Source organism: Homo sapiens, chromosome 14 (assembly GCF_000001405.40).
Source record: "Homo sapiens chromosome 14, GRCh38.p14 Primary Assembly".
NCBI lineage: Eukaryota > Metazoa > Chordata > Mammalia > Primates > Hominidae > Homo > Homo sapiens.
In genome coordinates this window covers 40,319,782-40,345,573 of record NC_000014.9, presented here as the reverse complement: position 1 = coordinate 40,345,573, position 25,792 = coordinate 40,319,782, and the positions used below count along the sequence as shown (strand labels likewise).

At 36.4% G+C, this 25,792-nt stretch overlaps 2 long non-coding RNA genes across 3 annotated transcripts in view, besides 1 other annotated feature; one reads left to right on the top strand and one right to left on the bottom strand.

The window, feature by feature from the left end:
- The window catches only part of LOC105370463 (uncharacterized), a 117,571-nt gene that overhangs the window by 3,004 nt on the left and 88,775 nt on the right, over positions 1–25,792 (top strand). The gene's annotated exons all lie outside the window — the stretch shown is intronic.
- The window catches only part of LOC105370462 (uncharacterized), a 72,153-nt gene that overhangs the window by 44,941 nt on the left and 1,420 nt on the right, over positions 1–25,792 (bottom strand). The window lies entirely within an intron of this gene.
- Positions 18,515–19,107: an enhancer, noted in NCBI's record as "NANOG-H3K4me1 hESC enhancer chr14:40795671-40796263 (GRCh37/hg19 assembly coordinates)". NCBI's record gives its function as "activates a minimal SCP1, AML or CMV promoter by ChIP-STARR-seq in primed H9 embryonic stem cells {active_cell/tissue: H9 hESC(primed)}" and the evidence as "EXISTENCE:reporter gene assay evidence [ECO:0000049][PMID:30033119]".

The window sequence follows — 25,792 nt, the reverse complement described above, 5'->3', positions numbered from 1 at the left end:
CAGCTCAATATCTGCAAGATTCATACTTCCTGAATAAAGCAGTTCATGCATTCTTATTGCCCTTTAGCATTCCATTACAGGTCAAAATATACCATAATTTACTTATCCATTCTACTGTTGATATACAATTGGGTTGCTTCCAAATTGGGGCTAGTGCAAATAGGCTGCTATAAATCTTTCTCTGTGTATCTTTTGATACATATATAAAAGAAATTTCCAGGAAGTTGAATGACTTAACATTTCCTGGAAATTCATAGGCTATAAATTTGTCTGACTTTTTTAGACACAATTGTGCTCTTCTCCAAAGTGATTTTACCAAATTACATTGCTAATGACAATGTATGAGACTTCCAATTACTCTATATACTGCCCCAAACTTGGAATTGTCAGGGTTTTTTTGTTCATTTGTTTTGTTTTCAATTTTAGCTATTTTGTTGGATGAATGCCAGTATAACATCATGGAGTACTAATAATTAGGTTAAGCATGTTACTAATAATTCGTTTAAACAGATTTTCATTTATTAGCTGCTTAGATATTCTTTTTTTTACCCCAAAAGTCTACTACCCAATTTTTAAAATAGAGATAACTGTTTTCTTAATGATTTCTAGAAGTCCTTGATATAGCGTGGATAAGTGTATCTTCTCCTAATTTGTGAATTGTATTTTCACTTTCTAATGGTATTCTTGAGAAATATAAATTATAAGATTAAGGTAGACAAATTTATCAATTTCTTGATGAATAATGCCTTTCGTTTCTCTACAAAATATCTTTCCTTAACCTAAGGTTCTAAAAATATTTGCATATGTTGTCTTCCATAAACATTATTGTTTTAATTTTCACACTTAGACATGTAGTCAATTGGAATTAATTTTTGTATATGATGTAAGGTAGGAGGTAAAGATTTGTTTATGCTTTTATTATTTTTCCAAGGTGATTATCCAATTGAAACAGCATTCTATATTGAAAATGTCATCTTCTCTTTACTGCACCACATTGTCATCTTTAAACCAAATAGCAGTTCTTGATGTCTGTGTCTTTTTCCTATGCTTCAATTTTCTTTTGTTACTATAATTGTCAATTCTTCAACAACTAATACATTTTGTTAATTAGCTCTATAATAACCTTTTATGATTGGCAGTGTAGGTCCCTGAAGCCTAATTCTTATTCTCAAGAAATACTGTAGCAGACAGAATGCTAAGATGGTTGGTTTCCCAATCCCTGTTATGTACATTCTCCATAGTGCCCTCTCATTGAGTGGAAGCAGGACCTATGAATATGATGAGGTAATTACTCTTTTTATCAGTTTATGTTATATAGAGTAAATGATGGGATTGTTTCTCCTTTGATTAAATTAAATTGTGTAAGGCTATCCTATAGCAAACTGGAGAAAGATTCACTTGCTGGCCTTAGGAAGTAAGAAGCCATGTTGTGATATGGCCGCATGGCTAGGACATGAGAGTAGCCTCTAGGATGTAGGAGCCACCCTAGCTAAGAGCCAGCAAGAAAACAGGGACCTACAATGAACTGAATTCTGTTAATAACCTGATTGAGTTTGGAAATGGATTATTCTCTGGACAGTCCTGCAGATAAGTATGCAGCCTGGCTGGCACCCTGGTTTCAGACTCATGATCCTGTAAGCAGGCATCTCAGCCAAACTGGACTTCTGATCTAAAGAAACTGTGAAATAATAAATACATGTTATTTTAAGACACCAAGTCTGTGGTAACTTGTGCAGCAGTTGAAAACTAATATGAAAAATTTTGCTTTTTTTGGTTCATTTTATTTCCCCATATATTCTAAAATCAACTTACCAATTTGCAATTCTAAAACCTACTGAAAATTTGAATGTAAAAGTACTGAATTTGTAAATAGAGGATACTATTTAGTTATTCTTTAGTTATTCTCAATACATTTTGCATTTTCTATTCTTAAGAAGAATTGGTGTTAAAATAGTTTTTTGCTTTGCCTAAAACTATTTAACAAAATTCATTAGTAAAATCATATGAGCTTTACTTGTTTTGAGGAGATAATTTTTGGGAGTTTCAACATCCTCAGTAACTATGAACCTACTCAAAATTTTTATGTCAATTTGTGTTACTCTGAGTGTATACAGATATTAATGAGTATATATATTTTATTATCTGTAATATAGCTTATTACCCATTTATCTTTTTAATATCTGTAGGATCTATTGAGTCATTGCCTTTTTGTCTACTGAAATTGTATATATGATATATAAATTAATTGATATATAAATTATATATTTTATTAGTTTTATCAGAGTGCTGTCAGTTTTATGAAACATTTTAATAGATCAACTTTTAGCTTTGTTGACTTTTTCTATTATATATTAGTTTCCTACTTCACTGGTTTCTTTTTATATCTTTATAATTTCTTCGACTTTCTTTGAGATTAATTTGCTTTTTTCTGGTTTTTTAATATTACTAAAACTCGGAATTTTTTAAATTTGTAATATATAATTTTAGAGCCATAACTTTTCCTCTGAAATAAAAAGGAGTAATATAAAGAAAATTAACAAGAAGGAAGGTTCAGGGAATTTAGAGTTTCCTATTTCTACTTGAGGGTGTTGCATGTCAAAGAGAAGAGCAAGGATCACCTCCAGAAATACTGGCTGAAATCACAGCATAATAAGACTTGAATATTTGATTAATGCATTATACTTAGGGCTTTCTAATGTAACCAAATTGGCCCTAGAAAATATATCATCAGATATTTTAGTAAGGTTTATTTTTAGCAGTATGCAGAATACATCAGGGTTATAGGGGCAACTATTTGAAATTTCCCATGCAGGATGTGCTGCTGGGTTTTATTACTACAAAAGCCTCTCCTGGGCATAAAAATGTGAAAGAGGTTATAGGTGAGAAGAAAACTTAAAATTTAAAATGTGAAGCCATTAACTGGATTTAAAAGCAAAGTAAAAGGCAGAATCAACAATGTCTCTAAAGTCTCAGCCTGAGTAATGATGGTGGCATGGGATAGTTGTGCCATCAAGGGAAAGAGGAATTTTAACTAAATTTATTTGAATGAGTCTAAGGATGGTGGAAGTAAGGAGATTAAAGAGCTAAATATTAAAAAGGCTTATGATACTTATTTCATTTGGTTTGGGACTGATTGCTTAAATGTTAAGTAAGGAGCAGGAATAATTCTTAGTAATAGTTGCTTTGAAATGAACCAGATACCAAAGTTAAGAAATTGAGTGCTATAGAAATGTCCAAGTACAATGAAATTACAAAACAAGGTGTTATCCCACAAAGCTTGATAGAGAGATGAAGTGACGATTTAGATTAGAAACGTTTATCAAGGAATCAAGAAACCTCAACATGAAGTTAGCAGCAAGCTATGGGAAAGCTATAAGCAATGGGCTTCCTCCAGGCCTTTTAAACACTAAATTCTGAGTTTGAAGGAAACCAAATCTCTTCTTTCATAACTTGGTTTTGGAATTATGAATGTTTCTCTAATTAAAGCTACTATGTTTTCAATGGTTATGATTTAGCAATGTGAAAGCTAATCCATAATCCTTGTTATGGGAGCACAAAATTATGAGAGCAAATTTGTACATATAGTGGGATTGGCCAAATAAGTGAATATATTATGGAAAAAGAAAGCCAGGTTCCTCACTGTCAGAGAAGAACGTTACAAATAAGGAAATGTGGAAGGCTAAGATGAATCCAGTAGAGTTAGATTGAAATTAGAAGTATTAATAAAAACTTAGGTTTTTGTTAAATTATATATACAGATAAACATAGAAATAAGTATTGGTGTCTGTGTATTCATGAATTAGAATACATACATATATTTCCTAGTTCTTTCTGATGAGTCTAGACGCAATGATACCCTAATAGCAATGAACACACCAAATGCTAAGACATATGTAAGTAAGCATGTGTGTGTATATATTCAGAAATATATACCCAACACAAGGTAATCATATGCTTAATCTTTTTGTTTTAAAGTCTTTATGGTCGCCTATACATAGTCATTTTTTCTTTCTATCTAAAGATGAAAAAACCACAAATTTTGCCAAAATATATTTTAAAAGGTTTATTCTGAACCAATATGAGTGACTACAGCCCAGGGTTATATAATCTCAAGAGGTCCTGAGAAAGTGTGCCAGAGGCAATTGGGTAACAGTTTGGTTTTATACATTTTAGGGAGACAGGAATTGCAGATAAAATCATAAATTAATACATGGATGATATACATTGGTTTGGCCTGAAAAGGCAGGGAATCTTGAAAAAGAGAGCTTACAAGTCATAGGTGGGTTTTAGGGATTCTTTAGTTGACGGTTGAGAGTGAAACTATTATTTAAAGACTTAAAGTCAGTAGAAAGAAATGCTTGAGTTAAGATAAGGGGGCTTTGGGGGCCAAGGCCCTTAGCCTCTGGAGGTTCCCTGAAAAATCACTGATATGAGGCAGATTGATTAATAAGAGAAAAGGCATACAAATTTGTGTAAAGTATATACATGAGAGTCTTCGAAATGAAGACCCCACCTCCCAGTGAAGTTCAGAAGCTTACCATCTTAAGGTTATAGAAAGAATGCTGGCTTAGAGTATGGGCAAAAATAGGTTTTCGTAGCAAGACAGGTTAAGGGAGGGAGAAAGAAAGAGGATTGGCTAGCAAAGGTAGCCTTGTTATGTATATGAAGACTCACAGGTAGCAGCCCTCAGAGAAAATAGATCAAAGGTATCTCTTTTCAGACCTTTAAAGGTGTCTTACTCTCAGTTAATCTCGTCTGGATGCAGGAAAGGTCTAGAAAGGGAAGTCATGGATGCATTAATGGAGATTATCTACAGATGTAAATTTTCCCCCAAAAAGATGGCTTTGCATGGCTATTTCAGTCTGCTGGCCCTGTAGCAGCCATCTCAAAATATATTTTGAGTTAAAATATTTTGATTTCCCTTCAATTCTGCTATTTGTCATGTGATGCTTTACCACACACAGGTTGCAATGTGTAAACCAAAAATAAAATTCTAAGCCCTGCAACCAACTGCTGGACCTTCCACTTGGACAAAGGGCATTCCAAAGTTAATCTAAAAGATTAGTTCAGGCCATGATGGGAAATGAGAGTTAGACTCTTTTATAATGAGTGTCTTATTATAGTGCCTTATTATACTCTCCCTGTTGGAAATCAGGCACAGCTGACCACCATTAACATCAAAACAGAGACCTTAAGACTAAGTCTGATAAAAAAATTTATAATCTACTCTCTCTGAAGCATGCATCTTGGGGGCTTCATCTGCATAATAAGAACCTTGGTATTAATAACCCCTTATCTTAACCCAAACACTCCCTTCTATTGATTCTAGGTCTTCAGAAAATCTTTGAATCTTCCTGTGACCTGGAAGTACCATCCCCACCCCATGCCCCAGTTTCCCCATATTTCTGGATTGAACCAATGTACATTTATTGATCGACGTCTTATATCTCCCTAAAATGTATAAATCTAAGCCACAGCTCAACCACCTTGAGCACATATTCTCAGGATCTCCTGGGGCAACGTCACAATCCACTGGTCACTTACGTTTGGCTCAGAATAAATCTCTTCACATATTTTACAGAGTTTGACTCTTGTCGTCAACAAAAGTAAGCCACCTTATATGGATTAATTAAAAAAAACACATAATGAGATTTTATGGTTTATAAGGAATGAGTCCCCATACCTCTTAGGAATTTGGGCAAGAGAATAAAAGTTCAGAGATCAGTGCTCGTAACTAATCTCTCTATCCATTCCTAGATATAGATATCTATCTATACGTATAATGTCTCAGGGATGTCTTTATTCCTATTTTAAAGCCATACATAATTTTTAAAAGTTTTCTTTCCTCCTGTCTCTTAGGCTCCTGTGAGTGAGATAAATATTAAATGAGAAAAAAACATATTTTCAGATGTTTATAATTTCTGAGAACAAAGTGGACAATATGTCATGAGATAGTAACCTGGATTAACTTGATAGGGAGAAAGGGTGTTCTCCCTGTTATAAATAAGATGATTAAGAATAACAAAGCTCTCTTGGTTGGCTACCTAAAGAAGGTAAATGAGTATTCTCAGGCTGTGAGCTTATGAACCATTGCAAAGGTACAAAAAAGAGATAGGCATGTTGGACAAATAGTAAAGAAACAGTATGCCTGGATCTTAAACACAGGGTGGTGAGAGGTGGATTATGAAATTCAAAATTAGGCAGAAACAATTTTGTGGAACATTCAGAATATGGATTTTACTTTAAAAATTCTAGCAACAACTCAAAATAATCAGAGGTTAGAAATGTGCAATTTAGTACATGTAGTTAGGGTTGAAAATTGTATTCCTATTTTCCTAAAACGAGAATCACCTTCTCTCACATGCAAGGATATTTTACTTTGGGGAATTTAATTTCAAGTATCAAATCTGAGCAGAAGTATATTTAAAATTTTTTTCAATTTGTATTTCATGGCAATTAATCCTCTACAGTATCCTCAAACTGAGCCTGGAGCTCTTTCTTTGTACATAACTTTTGTGAACACAAATAAATATTTCCAGGAAAGTAGACATAAATAAGGAATGTAAATATCCTCTTGCTACAGAAAATCAATAGTATTGCCTAAAACATGATTTACTGATAATGTGTCAGAGACTATTTTTTGTTTAAGAGAATAGAAATATATTAAATGAGCAATTCCCGAAAGCTCTTGATTGTCCCTTACTTTTATGAGACCTGTTTTTATGATCATTAACCCTGTAATAGAGTATTTCAGATTATTGCCTCTTTAATAAATTGCTCATTGTTCATGATTCTCTAAGAACAGCAGATATTAATTAACAAATGAATGTATTCAGTTCCTTTGTTTCCATTTGTGCCTTACTTCATGAGCTGATTTCGGAAAGACTATGATAAATGGTTATCTGTTTCTTTTCCTCATTAGGTTATCTCTAAATTCACTGTCTCCTGGTTTCAAGGATGATTGCAGAAATATGACCATAAAACTGTAGCTTCTCATTATACCTAGAAGCAGTAGGAGTATAGTATTTATAATCTCATTATCTCAATGGATAGTTGTAGCTGTGCATATGCCCTTATTATCTCTACTGGGGCTGGTAATGATATACATAGTCTCATTTTCTGTGCTGTGGAATTGAAGAGTTGCATTTATAATTGAGCGTTCTGCACTGTAAGTAATATAAGGTGGGTGGATAACTGGTTGAAAGTGTGTCTAGTATTTTTTTGACTTTCCATTTTTCATATACATTTGATACTTGTTCCTCAAATATCTACAATTAGAAAATTCTGATAAGAGTAGACAAATAAGAAAATAAAATGAATAAAAATATTTAAGAAAATACGAGTTAAGATATTGACAACCCATCACCCTATGGATGACATTCCACTGACAAACCCCCCCGACTCCACCACCCAAGATTGTCATTCAGGTGAAAAAAAAAAAAGAAAGAAAGAGAGAAAAAGATAGAGAAGATTAAAAAAATAACATTTTAGTTTTGAACTTTCTTGGGTTTTTTTTGTTTTATTTTGTTTTTCTGTTTTTTTTGAGAAGGAGTCTTGCTTCTTTGCCCAGGCTGGAGTGTAATGGCATGATTTTGGCTCACTGCAAACTCCACCTCCCAAATTCAAGTGATTCTCCTGCCTCAGCCTCCCCAGTAGCTGGGATTACAGGCATGTGCCACCATGGCCGGCTAATTTTTGTATTTTTAGTAGAGACAGGGTTGCACCATGTTGGCCAGGCTGGTCTCAAACTCCTGACCTCAAGTAATTCGCCCGCCTCAGCCTCCCAAAGTTTTGGAATTACAGGCGTGAGCCACCGCACCCGGCCCTTGTTTTCATTTCAATACCCTAGCCATCACTTTTCTTACACAAAGTGTTATGGAAAATACTCTGCTCAAAATGAAACATTGCTTTTGAACACTTTCATAAACATAAGGTTATACAATCTCTTGGCAGTTCTGGGATAGTAACTAAAGTTCAGAGAGAGTAACAAAGAAAAATCCACAGTTTTCATGGCTTCTAAACCATGTTTCCAAGTAAAAATCTCCAAAATAAAATCAAAGGTGGGGTAAAATTTTAGCCATCAAAGGCTAAATGCTGATATATGTTTCCAAGTAGTCTGCTAATGTGTTATACAAATAAATCTCTGAAATAACTTCCATTTTTCCACTTTATATTGAGAAATTTAATAATTATTTAGATTTATGTCTTTAAATAAAGAGGAAGCATCAGAGGCATTTAAACCAGAGCAACTCCATCTTGTATAGAGGCTGGGTAAAATAAATTGGAGACCTACTGGGCTGCATTCCCAGGAGGTTAGACATTCTAAGTCACAGGATGAGATAGGAGGTCGGCAAAATATACAGGTCATCAAGATCTTGCTGATAAAGCAGGTTGCAGTAAAGAAGCCAGCCAAAATCCACCAAAACCAAGATGGTGAGAGGGACCTCTGATCACCCTCACTGCTCTTAATACACTAATGATACTGCATTAGCATGTTAAAAGACACTTCCACCAGCGCTATGAGAGTTTACAAATGCCATGGCAACATCAGGAAGTTACCCTATGTGGTCTGAAAAGGAGAAGAACCCTCAGTTCTGGAAATAGCCCATTCCATTCCTGGAAAACTCATGAATAATCCATCTCTTGTTTAGCCTATAATCAAGAAATAACCATAAAAATGGGCAACCAACAGTCTTAGGGCTGCTCTGCCTATAGAGTAGCCATTCTTTTCTTCCTTTACTTTCTTAATAAACTTGCTTTCACTTTATGAACTCACCCCGAATTATTTCTTGGGCAAGAACCAAGAACCCTCTCCTGGGGTCTGGATCATGACCTGTTTCTGGTAACAGAAGCATACACACAAATGTAGACTACTCCAGTATTACTGGTAGGCTTCCACTCACTAGCCTTGGGAATAATTAAGTCACCTCTCTTTTTAATACTTACATGAAATTGTGGGCCTTCCCCTGCTCATATGAACAGAACATCCAGTTGCTTTCTCTGTGAACTCCTCATCCCATTTTTATTATTATAAAAATCCAAAGCATCTAATCCTCTTTACAAATTCATGGCAAAGACAGAACTGGAGAACAAAGCATTTTTAGTTGCTATTTCTTTTCTCACAGGAGCTTTGCTGTGAAAAATTATTTCAAACAATTCAGTGCATCCCTCCCCACTACTAAGTTTTTGGAATTGTTGGCCTGAGGCTGTATGCAGGTTGTAAAATTTCTGTCTTTAATTTAACCAAGAATGGCTATCTAAATGTTCCCCTAAGTTAAAAGGTCTTTAGTTTACTTTGAAATTGAAATATCACTCACTATTTGACTGGAACGAGGCCAAAAGGAGGTCAAAAATTCAGTCACAAGCAATACAAGACTCAGTCCTACTTCCCTTCTTTTCATCCACTTAACCTACTCACATACAACTGCTTTGGTGTGAAGTTTGGTCCTACTTGATTCCAATTATATCCAAGATAAATTTTCATTTCAAAGCTCCAGGACTTTATTCCTGATCAGCCCACCCATCAGAGAGTTTCTAATAATGTCAAATCTAATTAAGGAAGTTGTTTAACTCCAACTCATTTCTCCCAGTAAGCTCTGTGAAAAGAAAATAAAGGACCCCAAAATCACAAAGCCAAAGGGAAAATTCAAGCTAGGAACTGCGTCAGGTAAACCTGCCTCCCATTTTATTTTTAAATAAGACAGCTGCCAGGTGTGGTGGCTCATGCCTGTAGTCCCAGCACTTTAGGAGGCCAAGGCAGGTGGATCAGGTCAGGAGATCGAGATATCCTGGCCAATATGGTGAAAACCTATCTCTACTAAAAATAGAAAAATTAGCCAGGCGTGGTGGCATGTGCCTGTAGTCCCAGCTACTCAGGAGGCTGAGGCAGGAGAATCACGTGAACCCGGGAGGTGGAGGATGCAGTAAGCCAAGATCATGCCACTGCACTCTAGCCTGGGCGACTAAGCGAGACTCCACCTCAAAAAAAAAAAAAAAGAGATGGTTACAAAGATTTATATACATATATATATATATACTACATACCTCCCTCACAATTTGCCCACAAGGAAATTCCTTATGGGCAAAGGACAGACAGAATTCCAAGTCATTCCTCTGTTCACCTGAGACAACTGCATATCTGATTGCTTCCTCTGCCCTATTATTTCACTAAGCCAGACTAAAGCATAAGTGACTATTCCTTTATTCTCCTCTCACATGTAAATTGTGTATTCAGTGAAAGGCTAACTAGAAACTTAAAAGAATGCGACCTTTTGTCTCTTATCTACCTATGACCTGGAAGCCCCCTCCCCACTTCAAGTTGTCCCACCTTTCCTGACCAAACCAATGTACATCTTACATATATTGATTGATGTTTCATGTCTCCATAAAATGTATAAAACCAAGCTGTCCCCAAAGAACCTTGGGCACATGTCATCAGGACCTCCTGAGTTTGTGTCACAGGTAACATTGGACATTTGTGTCCGTAACATTGGAAAATTGTTTGTGTCTGTAACATTGGCAAAATAAACTTTCTAAATTGATTGAGATATCTCAGATACTTTTGGGTTCACAGCTCCTAGGCAGATATTTTTAACTCTTTTTGGAAGATGAGGTAGTATGAAGAGCAGTAACTTCTTTTTATTATTATGTTCATTATTTTTAATTTTAAATTCCAGGGTACATGTGCAGGATGTGCAAGAGCAGTAACTTTTTTAAAATAGACTTTTTAAAAGATAAGTATTAGGTTCACAGCAAAATTGAGCAGAAGGTACAGAGAATCCCTGTATACCACCTGCCCCCTGGCTCATGCATAGCCTCATCAATTATCAGCATCCCCAGTTAGAGTGGTACATTTGTTACAAATGATGAACCCACATTAATACATCATTATCACCCAGAGTGCATAGTTTATATTAGGGTTTACTCTTGGTGTTGTACATTCTATGGGTTTGGACAAATGTATTATATATTGATGCATGTCTACCATATTAGTATATGATACTATACATTAATACTACACCTTAGTATATTAGTAGTTTCACTGACCTGAAATTCTCTGTATTCCATGCATCATCCCTCCCTCCCAGCCCAACTCTGAAAAGAACTGATCTTTTTACTGTCTCCATAGTTTTGCCTTTTCCCAAATGTCATATAATTGCAATCACACAGTATGCAGCCTTTTCACATTGGCTTCTTTCACTTAGTAAAATGCAGTTAAGTTTCTCCATTTTCTGTGCATAGTTTGATAGCTCATTTCTTTTTGCACTGAATAATATTTAATTTCCTGGATGTACCAAAGTTTATTTACCCACTAACCTATGGAGGGGCATCTTGGTTGCTTCCAAGTTTGGGCAACTATGAATAAAGCTTCTATAAACATACCTCTACAGGTTTCTGTGTAGACATAAGTTGTCCACTCCTTTACGTAGATACCAAGGAAAATGATTGTTGGATAGTATGGCATGAGAATGTTTAGTCTTGTAAGAACCATAAACTGTCCTTCAAAGTAGCTGTACCACTTTGCATTCTCATCAGCAGTGAATGAGAGTTCCTGTTGCTTCACATCCTTGCCAACATTTGTTGTAGTGGTGTTCTGTACTTACAACACTTCCGTAATCAAATATGTAGATTTTACACACATTGCAATTTACATATTATCTGTGAACACCAACTCAGTATCCTACAGTTTAATTCAATTCTAGCACTAACAATAGGATAAGGGCTCAGTCCCACAGAACCACCTCCAACTTCAGATTCCAATTGCAAGTAGTTAGTCCTGGGTTACCCACATTTCTGTCTGACTTGGTTACTGTTGGGTTCCCTAAAACTTTCTCCTCAAATTTGATGATTTTCTATAACAGCTCATAAAATCCAAGGAAACACTTTACTTGCATTAACTGGTTTATTATAAAGAATATCATAAAGGGTACATACGTACAGTCAGATGAAGAGGTCCATAGGACAAGGTATGATGAAGGGGCATGGAGCTCTCATGCTGTGTCCAGGCGTGGCACTGTCCCAGTACTTCCGTGCAGTCACCAATGCGGAAACTATTTTAACTCATTTGTTTGGGATTTTAATGGATGCTTCATTATATAGGCATAATTGATTCAATTCTTGGCCATTGTCAGTTTAACTCAATGTCCAACTGCTTACCCCTTTCCAGAGGTGGATGGTGCTGAAACTTTCAACCCTCTTGTCTTGTGGTTGGTTCTTCCCACAACCAGCTCCTATGCTCCAAGAGTAGACTTACTAGAATAAACTTAGGTATGACTAAAAGGGGCTTATTATAAATAAGAAATGATGCCTCTCTTATGCTGTCACTCAGGAAATTATGAGAGTTTTAGAAGCCTGAAGCAGAGAAAAAGTATATATTTTTATTGCGTCCCAATAGTCACATCTCGTTGTTTTATTTTAATTTGCATTTCTTTGATAACATGAGATGTGGAACATCTTTTAAGATGCTTATTTGTCATCTGTATATCTTCTTGGTGAAATGTCTGTTAAAGTCTTTGGCTCATTTTGTAATCAGGTTGTTTTATTGTTGAATTTTAATAATTATTTGTATATTTTGAATAACAATCTTTTATCAAATATCTTGCGAATATTTTCTCCTACTCTGTGGCTTGTCTTTACATTCTCTTGACAGAGTCTTTCACAGAGCAGAATTTTGTAATTTTAATGAAGTCCAGTTTTAATTTTTTTTATATATATTGTACTTCGGTATGTTTTGAAAAGTCATCACCAAATACAAACACGAGTTCTAGATTTTTCTTCCAGGAATTTTATGGCTTTGCATATTACATTTAGATTTGTGATCCAGCTTGGGTTAATTTTTGTGAAGGGTCTAAGGTCTGCATTGAGATTTATTTTCCTTGCATATGGATGTCCAGATGTTCCAGCACCAGTTGTTGAAAAGTCTTCCTTGTCTTTATTGTATTGCCTTTGCTTTTTTGTCAAAGATTGGTTAACTATATTCATGTGGATCTATTTCTGGTGTTTCTATTCTGTTTCATTAATCTTTTGGTCTATCCTTTCTCCAATAGCCCACTGATTAGTGTAGCTTTATAGTGAGTCTTCAAGGTGGATAGCATCAGTCCTCTTCCCTTGGTATTCTTCTTCAATGTTGTGTTAGCCATTCTGTGTCTTTTGCCTTCACATATAAATTTTAGAATTAGTTTTCCTAATTCACAAATAACTCACTAGCATTTTGATTAAGATTGCATTGAATCTACAGATCAAACTGATAACTAACATCTTGTCAATATTGAGTCTTCCTGTCTATGAATAAGGAATATCCATTTATTCAGTTCTTCTTTATTTCATCAGAGCCTGTAGTTTATTTATTTATTTATTTATTTATTATTATACTTTAAGTTTTAGGGTACATGTGCACATTGTGCAGGTTAGTTACATATGTATACATGTGCCGTGCTGGTGTGCTGCACCCACTAACTCGTCATCTAGCATTAGGTATATCTCCCAATGCTATCCCTCCCCCCTCCCCCCACCCCACCACAGTCCCCAGAGTGTGATATTCCCCTTCCTGTGTCCATGTTACCTCATTGTTCAATTCCCACCAATGAGTGAGAATATGCGGTGTTTGGTTTTTTGTTCTTGCGATACTTTACTGAGAATGATGATTTCCAATTTCATCCATGTCCCTACAAAGGACGTGAACTCATCATTTTTTATGGCTGCATAGTATTCCATGGTGTATATGTGCCCCATTTTCTTAATCCAGTCTATCATTGTTGGACATTTGGGTTGGTTCCAAGTCTTTGCTATTGTGAATAATGCCGCAATAAACATACGTGTGCATGTGTCTTTATAGCAGCATGATTTATAGTCATTTGGGTATATACCCAGTAATGGGATGGCTGGGTCAAATGGTATTTCTAGTTCTAGATCCCTGAGGAATCGCCACACTGACTTCCACAATGGTTGAACTAGTTTACAGTCCCACCAACAGTGTAAAAGTGTTCCTGTTTCTCCACATCCTCTCCAGCACCTGTTGTTTCCTGACTTTTTAATGATTGCCATTCTAACTGGTGTGAGATGGTATCTCATACTGGTTTTGATTTGCATTTCTCTGATGGCCAGTGATGATGAGCATTTTTTCATGTGTTTTTTGGCTGCATAAATGTCTTCTTTTGAGAAGTGTCTGTTCATGTCCTTCGCCCACTTTTTGATGGGGTTGTTTGTTTTTTTCTTGTAAATTTGTTTGAGTTCATTGTAGATTCTGGATATTAGCCCTTTGTCAGATGAGTAGGTTGTGAAAATTTTCTCCCATTTTGTAGGTTGCCTGTTCACTCTGATGGTAGTTTCTTTTGCTGTGCAGAAGCTCTTTATTTTAATTAGATCCCATTTGTCAATTTTGTCTTTTGTTGCCATTGCTTTTGGTGTTTTAGACATGAAGTCCTTGCCCATGCCTATGTCCTGAATGGTAATGCCTAGGTTTTCTTCTAGGGTTTTTATGGTTTTAGGTCTAACGTTTAAATCTTTAATCCATCTTGAATTGATTTTTGTATAAGGTGTAAGGAAGGGATCCAGTTTCAGCTTTCTACATATGGCTAGCCAGTTTTCCCAGCACCATTTATTAAATAGGGAATCCTTTCCCCATTGCTTGTTTTTCTCAGGTTTGTCAGAGATCAGATAGTTGTAGGTATGCGGCGTTATTTCTGAGGGCTCTGTTCTGTTCCATTGATCTATATCTCTGTTTTGGTACCAGTCCATGCTGTTTTGGTTACTGTAGCCTTGTAGTATAGTTTGAAGTCAGGTAGTGTGATGCCTCCAGCTTTGTTCTTTTGGCTTAGGATTGACTTGGCGATGCAGGCTCTTTTTTGGTTCCATATGAACTTTTTTCCAATTCTGTGAAGAAAGTCATTGGTAGCTTGATGGGGATGGCATTGAATCTGTAAATTACCTTGGGCAGTATGGCCATTTTCACGATATTGATTTTTCCTACCCATGAGCATGGAATGTTCTTCCATTTGTTTGTATCCTCTTTTATTTCTTTGAGCAGCGGTTTGTAGTTCTCCTTGAAGAGGTCCTTCACATCCCTTGTAAGTTGGATTCCTAGGTATTTTATTCTCTTTGAAGCAATTGTGAATGGGAGTTCACTCATGATTTGGCTCTCTGTTTGTCTGTTGTTGGTGTATAAGAATGCTTGTGATTTTTGTACATTGATTTTGTATCCTGAGACTTTGCTGAAGTTGCTTATCAGCTTAAGGAGATTTCAGGCTGAGACAAAGGGGTTTTCTAGATATAAAATCATGTCGTCTGCAAACAGGGACAATTTGACTTCCTCTTTTCCTAATTGAATACCCTTTATTTCCTTCTCCTGCCTAATTGCCCTGGCCAGAACTTCCAACACTATGTTGAATAGGAGTGGTGAGAGAGGGCATCCCTGTCTTGTGCCAGTTTTCAAAGGGAATGCTTCCAGTTTTTGCCCATTCAGTATGATATTGGCTATGGGTTTGTCATAGATAGCTCTTATCATTTTGAAATACGTCCCATCAATACCTAATTTATTGAGAGTTTTTAGCATGAAGGGTTGCTGAATTTTGTCAAAGGCTTTTTCTGCATCTATTGAGATAATCATGTGGTTTTTGTCTTTGGCTCTGTTTATATGCTGGATTACATTTATTGATTTGTGTATATTGAACCAGCCTTGCATCCCAGGGATGAAGCCCACTTGTTCATGGTGGATAAGCTTTTTGATGTGCTGCTGGATTTGGTTTGCCAGTATTTTATTGAGGATTTTTGCATCAATGTTCATCAAGGATATTGGTCTAAAATTCTCTTTTTTGGTTGTGTCTCTGCCTGGCTTTGGTATCAGAATGATGCTGGCCTTATAAAATGAGTTAGGGAGGATTCCCTCTTTTTCTATTGATTGGAATAGTTTCAGAAGGAATGGTACCAGTTCCTCCTTGTACCTCTGGTAGAATTTGGCTGTGAATCCATCTGGTCCTGGACTCTTTTTGGTTGGTAAACTATTGATTATTGCCAGAATTTCAGCTCCTGTTATTGGTCTATTCAGAGATTCAACTTCTTCCTGGTTTAGTCTTGGGAGAGTGTATGTGTCCAGGAATTTATCCATTTCTTCTAGATTTTCTAGTTTATTTGCATAGAGGTGTTTGTAATATTCTCTGATGGTAGTTTGTATTTCTGTGGGATCGGTGGTGATATCCCCTTCATCATTTTTTATTGTGTCTATTTGATTCTTCTCTCTTTTTTTCTTTCTTAGTCTTGCTAGCGGTCTATCAATTTTGTTGAGCCTTTCAAAAAACCAGCTCCTGGATTCATTGATTTTTTGAATGGTTTTTTGTGTCTCTATTTCCTTCAGTTCTGCTCTGATTTTAGTTATTTCTTGCCTTCTGCTAGCTTTTGAATGTATTTGCTCTTGCTTTTCTAGTTCTTTTAATTGTGTTAGGGTGTCAATTTTGGATCTTTCCTGCTTTCTCTTGTGGGCATTTAGTGCTATAAATTTCCCTCTACACACTGCTTTGAATGCGTCCCAGAGATTCTGGTATGTCGTGTCTTTGTTCTCATTGGTTTCAAAGAACATCTTTATTTCTGCCTTCATTTCGTTATCTACCCAGTAGTCATTCAGGAGCAGGTTGTTCAGTTTCCATGTAGTTGAGCGGCTTTGAGTGAGATTCTTAATCCTGAGTTCTAGTTTGATTGCACTGTGGTCTGAGAGAGAGTTTGTTATAATTTCTGTTCTTTTACATTTGCTGAGGAGAGCTTTACTTCCCAGTATGTGGTCAATTTTGGAATAGGTGTGGTGTGGTGCTGAAAAAAATGTATATTCTGTTGATTTGGGGTGGAGAGTTCTGTAGATGTCTATTAGGTCCACTTGGTGCAGAGCTGAGTTCAATTCCTGGGTATCCTTGTTGACTTTCTGTCTCGTTGATCTGTCTAATGTTGACAGTGGGGTGTTAAAGTCTCCCATTATTATTGTGTGGGAGTCTAAGTCTCTTTGTAGGTCACTCAGGACTTGCTTTATGAATCTGGGTGCTCCTGTATTGGGTGCATATATATTTAGGATAGTTAGCTCTTCTTGTTGAATTGATCCCTTTACCATTATGTAATGGCCTTCTTTGTCTCTTTTGATCTTTGTTGGTTTAAAGTCTGTTTTATCAGAGACTAGGATTGCAACCCCTGCCTTTTTTTGTTTTCCATTTGCTTGGTAGATCTTCCTCCATCCCTTTATTTTGAGCCTATGTGTGTCTCTGCACGTGAGATGGGTTTCCTGAATACAGCACACTGATGGGTCTTGACTCTTTATCCAATTTGCCAGTCTGTGTCTTTTAATTGGAGAATTTAGTCCATTTACATTTAAAGTTAATATTGTTATATGTGAATTTGATCCTGTCATTATGATGTTAGCTGGTGATTTTGCTCGTTAGTTGATGCAGTTTCTTCCTAGTCTCGATGGTCTTTACATTTTGGCATGATTTTGCAGCAGCTGGTACCGGTTGTTCCTTTCCATGTTTAGCGCTTCCTTCAGGAGCTCTTTTAGGGCAGGCCTGGTGGTGACAAAATCTCTCAGCATTTGCTTGTCTGTAAAGTATTTTATTTCTCCTTCACTTATGAAGCTTAGTTTGGCTGGATATGAAATTCTGGGTTGAAAATTCTTTTCTTTAAGAATGTTGAATATTGGCCCCCACTCTCTTCTGGCTTGTAGGGTTTCTGCCGAGAGATCTGCTGTTAGTCTGATGGGCTTCCCTTTGAGGGTAACCCAACCTTTCTCTCTGGCTGCCCTTAACATTTTTTCCTTCATTTCAACTTTGGTGAATCTGACAATTATGTGTCTTGGAGTTGCTCTTCTCGAGGAGTATCTTTGTGGCGTTCTCTGTATTTCCTGAATCTGAACATTGGCCTGCCTTGCTAGATTGGGGAAGTTCTCCTGGATAATATCCTGCAGAGTGTTTTCCAACTTGGTTCCATTCTCCCCATCACTTTCAGGTACACCAGTCAGACGTAGATTTGGTCTTTTCACATAGTCCCATATTTCTTGGAGGCTTTGCTCATTTCTTTTTATTCTTTTTTCTCTAAACTTCCCTTCTCCCTTCATTTCATTCATTTCATCTTCCATTGCTGATACCCTTTCTTCCAGTTGATCGCATTGGCTCCTGAGGCTTCTGCATTCTTCACATAGTTCTCGAGCCTTGGTTTTCAGCTCCATCAGCTCCTTTAAGCACTTCTCTGTATTGGTTATTCTAGTTATACATTCTTTTAAATTTTTTTCAAAGTTTTCAACTTCTTTGCCTTTGGTTTGAATGTCCTCCCGTAGCTCAGAGTAATTTGATCGTCTGAAGCCTTCTTCTCTCTGCTCGTCAAAGTCATTCTCCATCCAGCTTTGTTCCGTTGCTGGTGAGGAACTGCGTTCCTTTGGAGGAGGAGAGGCACTCTGTGTTTTAGAGTTTCCAGTTTTTCTGTTCTGTTTTTTCCCCATCTTTGTGGTTTTATCTACTTTTGGTCTTTGATGATGGTGATGTACAGATGGGTTTTCGGTGTGGATGTCCTTTCTGTTTGTTAGTTTTCCTTCTAACAGACAGGACCCTCAGCTGCAGGTCTTTTGGAATACCCTGCCTTGTGAAGTGTCAGTGTGCCCCTACTGGGGGGTGCCTCCCAGTTAGGCTGCTCGGGGGTCAGGGGTCAGGGACCCACTTGAGGAGGCAGTCTGCTGGTTCTCAGATCTCCAGCTGCATGCTGGGAGAACCACTGCTCTCTTCAAAGCTGTCAGACAGGGACATTTAAGTCTGCAAAGGTTACTGCTGTCTTTTTGTTTGCCTGTGCCCTGCCCCCAGAGGTGCAGCCTACAGTGGCAGGCAGGCCTCCTTGAACTGTCATGGGCTCCACCCAGTTCGAGCTTCCTGGCTGCTTTGTTTACCTAAGCAAGCCTGGGCAATGGCGGGCGCCCCTCCCCCAGCCTCGCTGCCGCCTTGCAGTTTGATCTCAGACTGCTGTGCTAGAATCAGCGAGATTCCGTGGGTGTAGGACCCTCCGAGCCAGGTGTGGGATATAGTCTTGTGGTGCGCCATTTTTTAAGCTGGTCTGAAAAACGCAGTATTCGGGTGGGAGTGACCTGATTTTCCAGGTGCCTCCGTCACCCCTTTCTTTGACTTGGAAAGGGAACTCCCTGACCCCTTGCATTTCCCAGGTGAGGCAATGCCTCGCCCTGCTTCGGCTCGCGCACGGTGCACGCACCCACTGGCCTGCGCCCACTGTCTGTCACTCCCTAGTGAGATGAACGCGGTACCTCAGATGGAAATGCAGAAATCACCCGTCTTCTGCGTCGCTCACGCTGGGAGCTGTAGACCGGAGCTGTTCCTATTTGGCCATCTTGGCTCCTCCCACGCCTGTAGTATATATCTTGTACATATTTTGTTAAGTTTATACCTAAGTGTTTCATTTTTGTGGTGCTAATTTAAACAGCATTGCTTTTTTAATTTAAAATTCCACTTGTGCATTGCTTGTATATAGAAAAGCCATTGAATTATATACATGAACCTTGTGTCCTGCAACATTCCTATAGTTGCTCATTAGTTCTAGGAGTTTCTTTGTCCATCCTTTTAGATTTTCTACATAGATGATCATGTTATCTGAGAACAAAGACAGTTTAATTTCTTCCTTTCAGATATGTATACCTCTTTTTCTCATCTTATTGCATTAGCTAGCTAAGAATTAAAGTAAGATGTGAAAAAGCAGTGGTGAGTGGAGATATCCTTGCCATCTTAGGTGAAAAACGTTGAGTTTCTCACATTCAGTACCATGTTAGCTGTAGGTTTTTTTGCAGATAATTTTTATCAAGTTGAGGATGGTCACCTTTATTCTAAGTTAACTGAGAGTTTTTATCATAAATGTTGTTATTTTGTCAAATGCTTTTCTTCATTTATTTATATGAGCCTGTGGTTTTTCTTCCTTAGCCTTCTGATGTTAGGGCTTACATTAGTTGGTTTCTGAATGTTGACCGAGCCTTGCATACCTGGTATAAATACCACACAGTAGAGCTGTATAATTCTTTTCACATATTGTTGAATTTGAGTTGCTAATATTTTGTTTAAGATTTTTGATCTGTGTTCATAAGAGATATTGATCTGTGTTTTTCTTATAATGCCTTTGTCTGGTTTTGATATTAGAGTAATTTTGGCCTCATAAAATGAGTTTGGAAGTGTTTTCTCTATTTCTATCTTCTAAAGGACATTATAGAAATTGGTATAATTTCTTCAATAAATATTTGGTAGAATTCACCAGTGAACCCATCTAGGCCTGATGCATTCTGTTTTGGAAAAGTATTAGTTATAGATTCAATTTTTAAAAAGACATGGACCTTCAAATAGTTTATTTCTTCTTGTGTGAATTTTGGCAGATTTTGTGTCTTTCAAAGCATTTGTCTCATTGACCTAATTATTGAATTTGTGCAGATAGAGATGTTAATAGTGTTCCTTGATTATCCTTTTAATGTCTATGGGATCTATAATAATGTTTCCTATTTTATTTCTGATATTAATGTCTGTCCTATCTCTTTTATTCATAGTTAACCTGGCTAGAGGTATATCAATTTTATTGATCTTTTCAAAGAAGCAGTTTGTGGTTTTACTGATTTTTTCCTACTGAATTTATGTTTTTAAATTTATTTATTTCTACTCTAATTTTTATCTTTTCCTTTCTTGTGTTTACTTTGGATTTAATTTACTCTTATTTTCTATTTTCCTAAGGTAGTATCTTAGATGATTAATTATGGATCTTTCGTCTTTTCTATTATATGCATGAACACCATATTTTTTTCTCTTGACACTGATTTTACTGCATTCCACAAACCTTGATAAGAATTTTTTTCTTTTTTTTAATTAAAAAAAATTTAAATTTCTCTCCAGGTTTCTTTTTTGACCTAGAGTGGTAACATTTTTATTAACAGAAAATATTTTGTCCTATCTCTCTCCCAGTTCAGTGGCTGCTTGCACATCTTAAATGTATGTAACTGAGAGGTGTCATGGAAGTGATCCTTTAGAGACAGAAAAATATCATAAATAACTTTCTAAGAAAAATCAGGCAATCTTTCTAGCTCAGACTATGCTAAGCAAATACTTATTAAATTATCTCTCTAATGGAAAATTAAAAAGTGATAAGGACTCTTTAAAATAATAAATTTCTCCTTGTAATTTATTACAACATTTATAGTGTAGTTTATCATTCATTAATGTGGCAAATATTTATTGGTTAGTACTAGGTATACCCAGCAGTGAATGAAATAGTCAAAGCCATTTTGAAACTTACTTTATGGTAGAGTATAATAAATAGTAAGCAAAAAGTACATAATAAGTAAATTATAAATCATATTAGAAAATCTTACATGCTTTGAGGGAAAAAACAAACAGAGAAAGATAAGGGAGATCAGAATGTGGTAGGAAAGAGTTGTAACTGAAAATACAATAAAGTAGTTTGAGTAAGCCTTCTTGAAAAGCAAAGACTAGAAGATAGTGAGGGAATTAGCCACATGTCTAGCTAAGGAAAGCAGTAAAGACACGGCACCCAGTATAAAGGTTCTGTATTTTACAACTCTTAAATGCCATCTAAGAAATGTATAAGCTTTCGCTCATGCATAGCGAAAGTGCAGAGCTCTGGACATGGGATGTGAGGATGTCAGTTATCCCCCAAATTTCCAGATCTTTATTTCAGAACTGTACAAAATCATTTTGTTCCAAAAATAGTGCTATGTAAAATGGGCACTATTAATATTTATTAAAGGAATGTTAGTTGTTTTGGTCATAGTTTAAGTTATGAATACTTGATCCCAGAAAATTTAAAAAATTGATTAATATCTACAGCTTTAATATAATTAATTTACTTGTAAGAAAATTGTAGTCTCTGTATGTTCATACATAATTCAAATTGTCTTCTCTAATATTAGTTTGTCTCTAGATATTAATCTTATTATAATTTATGAATGTTATTATAAACTTAAAAATTACATGTATTTCAGTGACATATTGTATCACATAAATTTAGTTTCTTCTACCAATATAACAGAATAAAATTCTGCTGTATTTATTAACAACTCTGGTTGATCAGCTGGTGGAAAAATTAACAACTCTTTGTTAATTAGATTTGATTTCAAGGTAGAATCTATCTATGATTTGATGCTTGGTCACACTACTAACTGACTGAGGACACTTTGCTATGCTACACAAAAACCTACACATGACTCCGAAATATGTCATTACTCTCTCATGTTTCTGTACTTATACTGGATTTGGAAGAATGAATATATTCTACTGATGTGCATGTTGCTAAACATTACAAAAATTATGTAATACTACAGCAACTGGCAATTTCGTTTATTCATTTAATTTTTTTTTTTTGCCAGGCGTGGTGGCTCATGCCTGTAATCCCAGCACTTTGGGATGCTGAGGCAGGTGGATCACAAGGTCAAGAGATCCAGACCATCTTGGCCAACATGGTGCAACCTTGTCTCTACTAAAAATACAAAAATTAGCTAGGCATGGTGGCATGTGCCTGTAGTCCCAGCTACTCAGGAGGCTGAGGCAAGAGAATAGCTTGAACCAGGGAGATAGAGGTTGCAGTGAGTCAAGATCACACCACTGCACTTCAGCTTGGTGACAGAGTGAGACTCCCTCTCAAAAAAAATCAATCAATCAATCAATAGTGTTTTTGAGATTTTTTTCCCACAATGATACTTAAAGATACATCTTACCCATCTTAACTGCTACAACACATAATGTCCCAATACATAAAGAAAACGGAGCATTTGTTTTCCTTTGTTCTAAATACATTTATCATACTGAAATATAGGTTTTTCCCCTCATTTTAAATTTTCTTGACATTGCTATGAAAAACTATTTCAGTGTACATTTTTTTATACTTTAAGTTCTGGGATACATGTGCAGAACATGCAGGTTTGTTACATAGGTATACATGTGCCATGGTGGTTTGCTGCATCCATCAACCCGTCATCTACAGTAAGTATATCTCCTAATGCTATCCCTCCCCATGTCCCCCACCCTGGACAAGCTCTGGTGTGTAATGTTCCCCTCCCTGTGTGCATGTGTTCTCCTTGTTCAACTCCCACTTATGAGTGAGAACATGCAGTGTTTGGTTTTCTGTTCCTGTGTTACTTTGATGAGAATGATGGTTTCCAGCTTCATCCATGTCCCTGCAAAGGACATGAACTCATCCTTTTTTATGGCTGCATAGTATTCCATGGTGTATATGTGCCACATTTTCTTTATCCAGTCTATCATCGATGGGCATTTGGGTTGGTTCCAAGTCTTTGCTATTGTGAACAGTGCTGCAATAAATATACATGTGCATGTGTCTTTATAGCAGCATGATTTATAATCCTTTGGGTATGTACCCAGTAATGGGATTGCTGGGTCAAATGGTATTTCTGGTTCTAGATCCTTGAGGAACTGCCACACTGTCTTCCACAATAGTTGAGCTAATTTACACTCCCACCAACAGTGTAAAAGCATTCCTATTTCTCCAAATCGTCTCCAGTATCTGTTGTTTCCTGACTTTTTGAATGATCACCATTCTAACTGGTGTGAGATGGTATCTCATTGTGGTTTTGATTTGCATTTCTCTAATGACCAGTGATGATGAGCTTTTTGTCATGTATTTGTTGACTGTATAAATGTCTTCTTTTGAGAAGTGTCTGTTCATATCCTTTGCCCACTTTTTGGTGGACCCTTAGTTTTCTTCTTGTAAATTGTATAAGTTACTTGTAGATTCTGGATATTTGCCCTTTGTCAGATGGATAGATTGCAAAAATTTTCTCCCATTCTGTAGGTTACCTGTTAACTCTGATGATAGTTTCTTTTGCTGTGCAGAAGCTCTTTAGTTTATTTAGATCCCATTTGTCTATTTTGGCCTTTGTTGCCATTACTTTTGGTGTTTTAGTCATGAAGTCTTTGCCCATGCCTATGTCCTGAATGATATTGCCTAGGTTTTCTTCTAGGATTTTTATGGTTTTAGATCTTATGTTTAAGTCTTTAATCCATCTTGAGTTAATTTTTGTATAAGGTGTAAGGAAGGGGTCCAGTTTCAGTTTTCTGCATATGGCTAGCCAGTTTTCCCAACACCATTTATGGAATAGGGGATCCTTTCTCCATTGCTTGTTTTTGTCAGGTTTGTCGAAGATCAGCTGGTTGTCAATATGTGGTGTTATTTCTGAGGCCTCTGTTCTGTTCCATTCGTCTATATATATGTTTTGGTATCAGTGTCATGCTGTTTTGGTCACTGTAGCCTTGTAGTATAGTTTGAAGTCAGGTAGCGTGATGCCTCCAGCTTTGTTCTTTTTGCTTAAGATTGTCTCAGCTATATGGGCTCTTTTTTGCTTCCATATGAAATTTAAATTAGCTTTACTCTAATTCTGTGAAGAAAGTCAATGGTAGGTTGATGGGGACAGCATTGAATCTATAAATTACTTTGGGCAGTATGGCCATTTTCACGATATTGATTATTCCTATCCATGAGCATGGAATATTTTTCCATGTGTTTGTGTCCTCTCTTATTTCCTTGAGCAGTGGTTTGTAGTTCTCCTTGAAGAGGTCCTTCACATTCCTTGTAAGTTGTATTCTTAGGTATCTTATTCTCTTTGCAGTAATTGTGGATGGGAGTTCACTCATGATTTGGCTCTCTGTCTGTTATTGGTGTATATAATGCTTGTGATTTTTGCAGATTGATTTTTTTATCTTGAGACTTTGCTGAAGTTGCTTATCAGCTTAAGGAGATTTGGGGCTGAGACAATGAGGCCTTCTGAATATACAATCAATCATGTCAACTGCAAACAGAGACAATTTTACTTCCTCTTTTCCTGTTTGAATACCCTTTATTTCTTTCTCTTGCCTGACTGCCCTGGCCAGAACTTCCAATAATATTTAGTGTACATTCTTTTAAGTGTGAAGTTTTCTCTAAGATAAATATAGCTTTATATATGAAGGGTTTTCTAGAATGTATATCTAGGAGTACACTTTCTGGGCTTTGTGTACGCACATTTACAACATTATTAGGTATTTTGTCAATTGCCCCCTCAAGTCGTTGCCTCAATTTACACTCCAACCACTCATAAAATTACCTGTTCCCTCATATCCTCATGAACACTTGGTGACATTGCTTTAATAGGTGTGACTCAGCTTGATATACTGTTGTTTAATTTGTTCTCTCATTAGTACTAAAGTTAAATATTCTCACAGTTATTTGCCTTTTGGATTTATTTCTCTGTAAATCATTTTATATTATTTGCTAATTTTGTGTTGGTTGTCTTTTACTTCTTTGTGAGGTCTTCACTGTATTCTGAATATTAACCCTTTGCTTACTTTGAATATGTTACCCTAATATCTTATGCCTTGAATTGATTGTGATGATAAATTTGCTGTCATTCTTGTTTATGTTCCCTTCTTATATGTCTTTTTTGCTCTAGCTGGTTGTTTGTTTGTTTGTTTTGTTATTTGACAGCAAGCTCATCCTTAAGCTCTAGGTGATTTTAGTTCTCTTTTTATTACCGCTTCTCAGCTACTTGTTTAGTTTGTGGAATTTCACAAATAACAGTAAAACTATAGGCCTTTTGTAGCAACCCTGCATTAAATCAAGGCTATTTTCCTTATTTAGATAGTGTTTTTAGATGGCTTTTGTATTTATATTCACAAGTGGGATTGAGATTCATTATTCTTTTCTCCACTTTTTCTTACTTAATTTCTCTATTAAGTCTATTCTAGGCATATCAAATGAGGAGACACTGTATAGATTAGATTATTTTCAT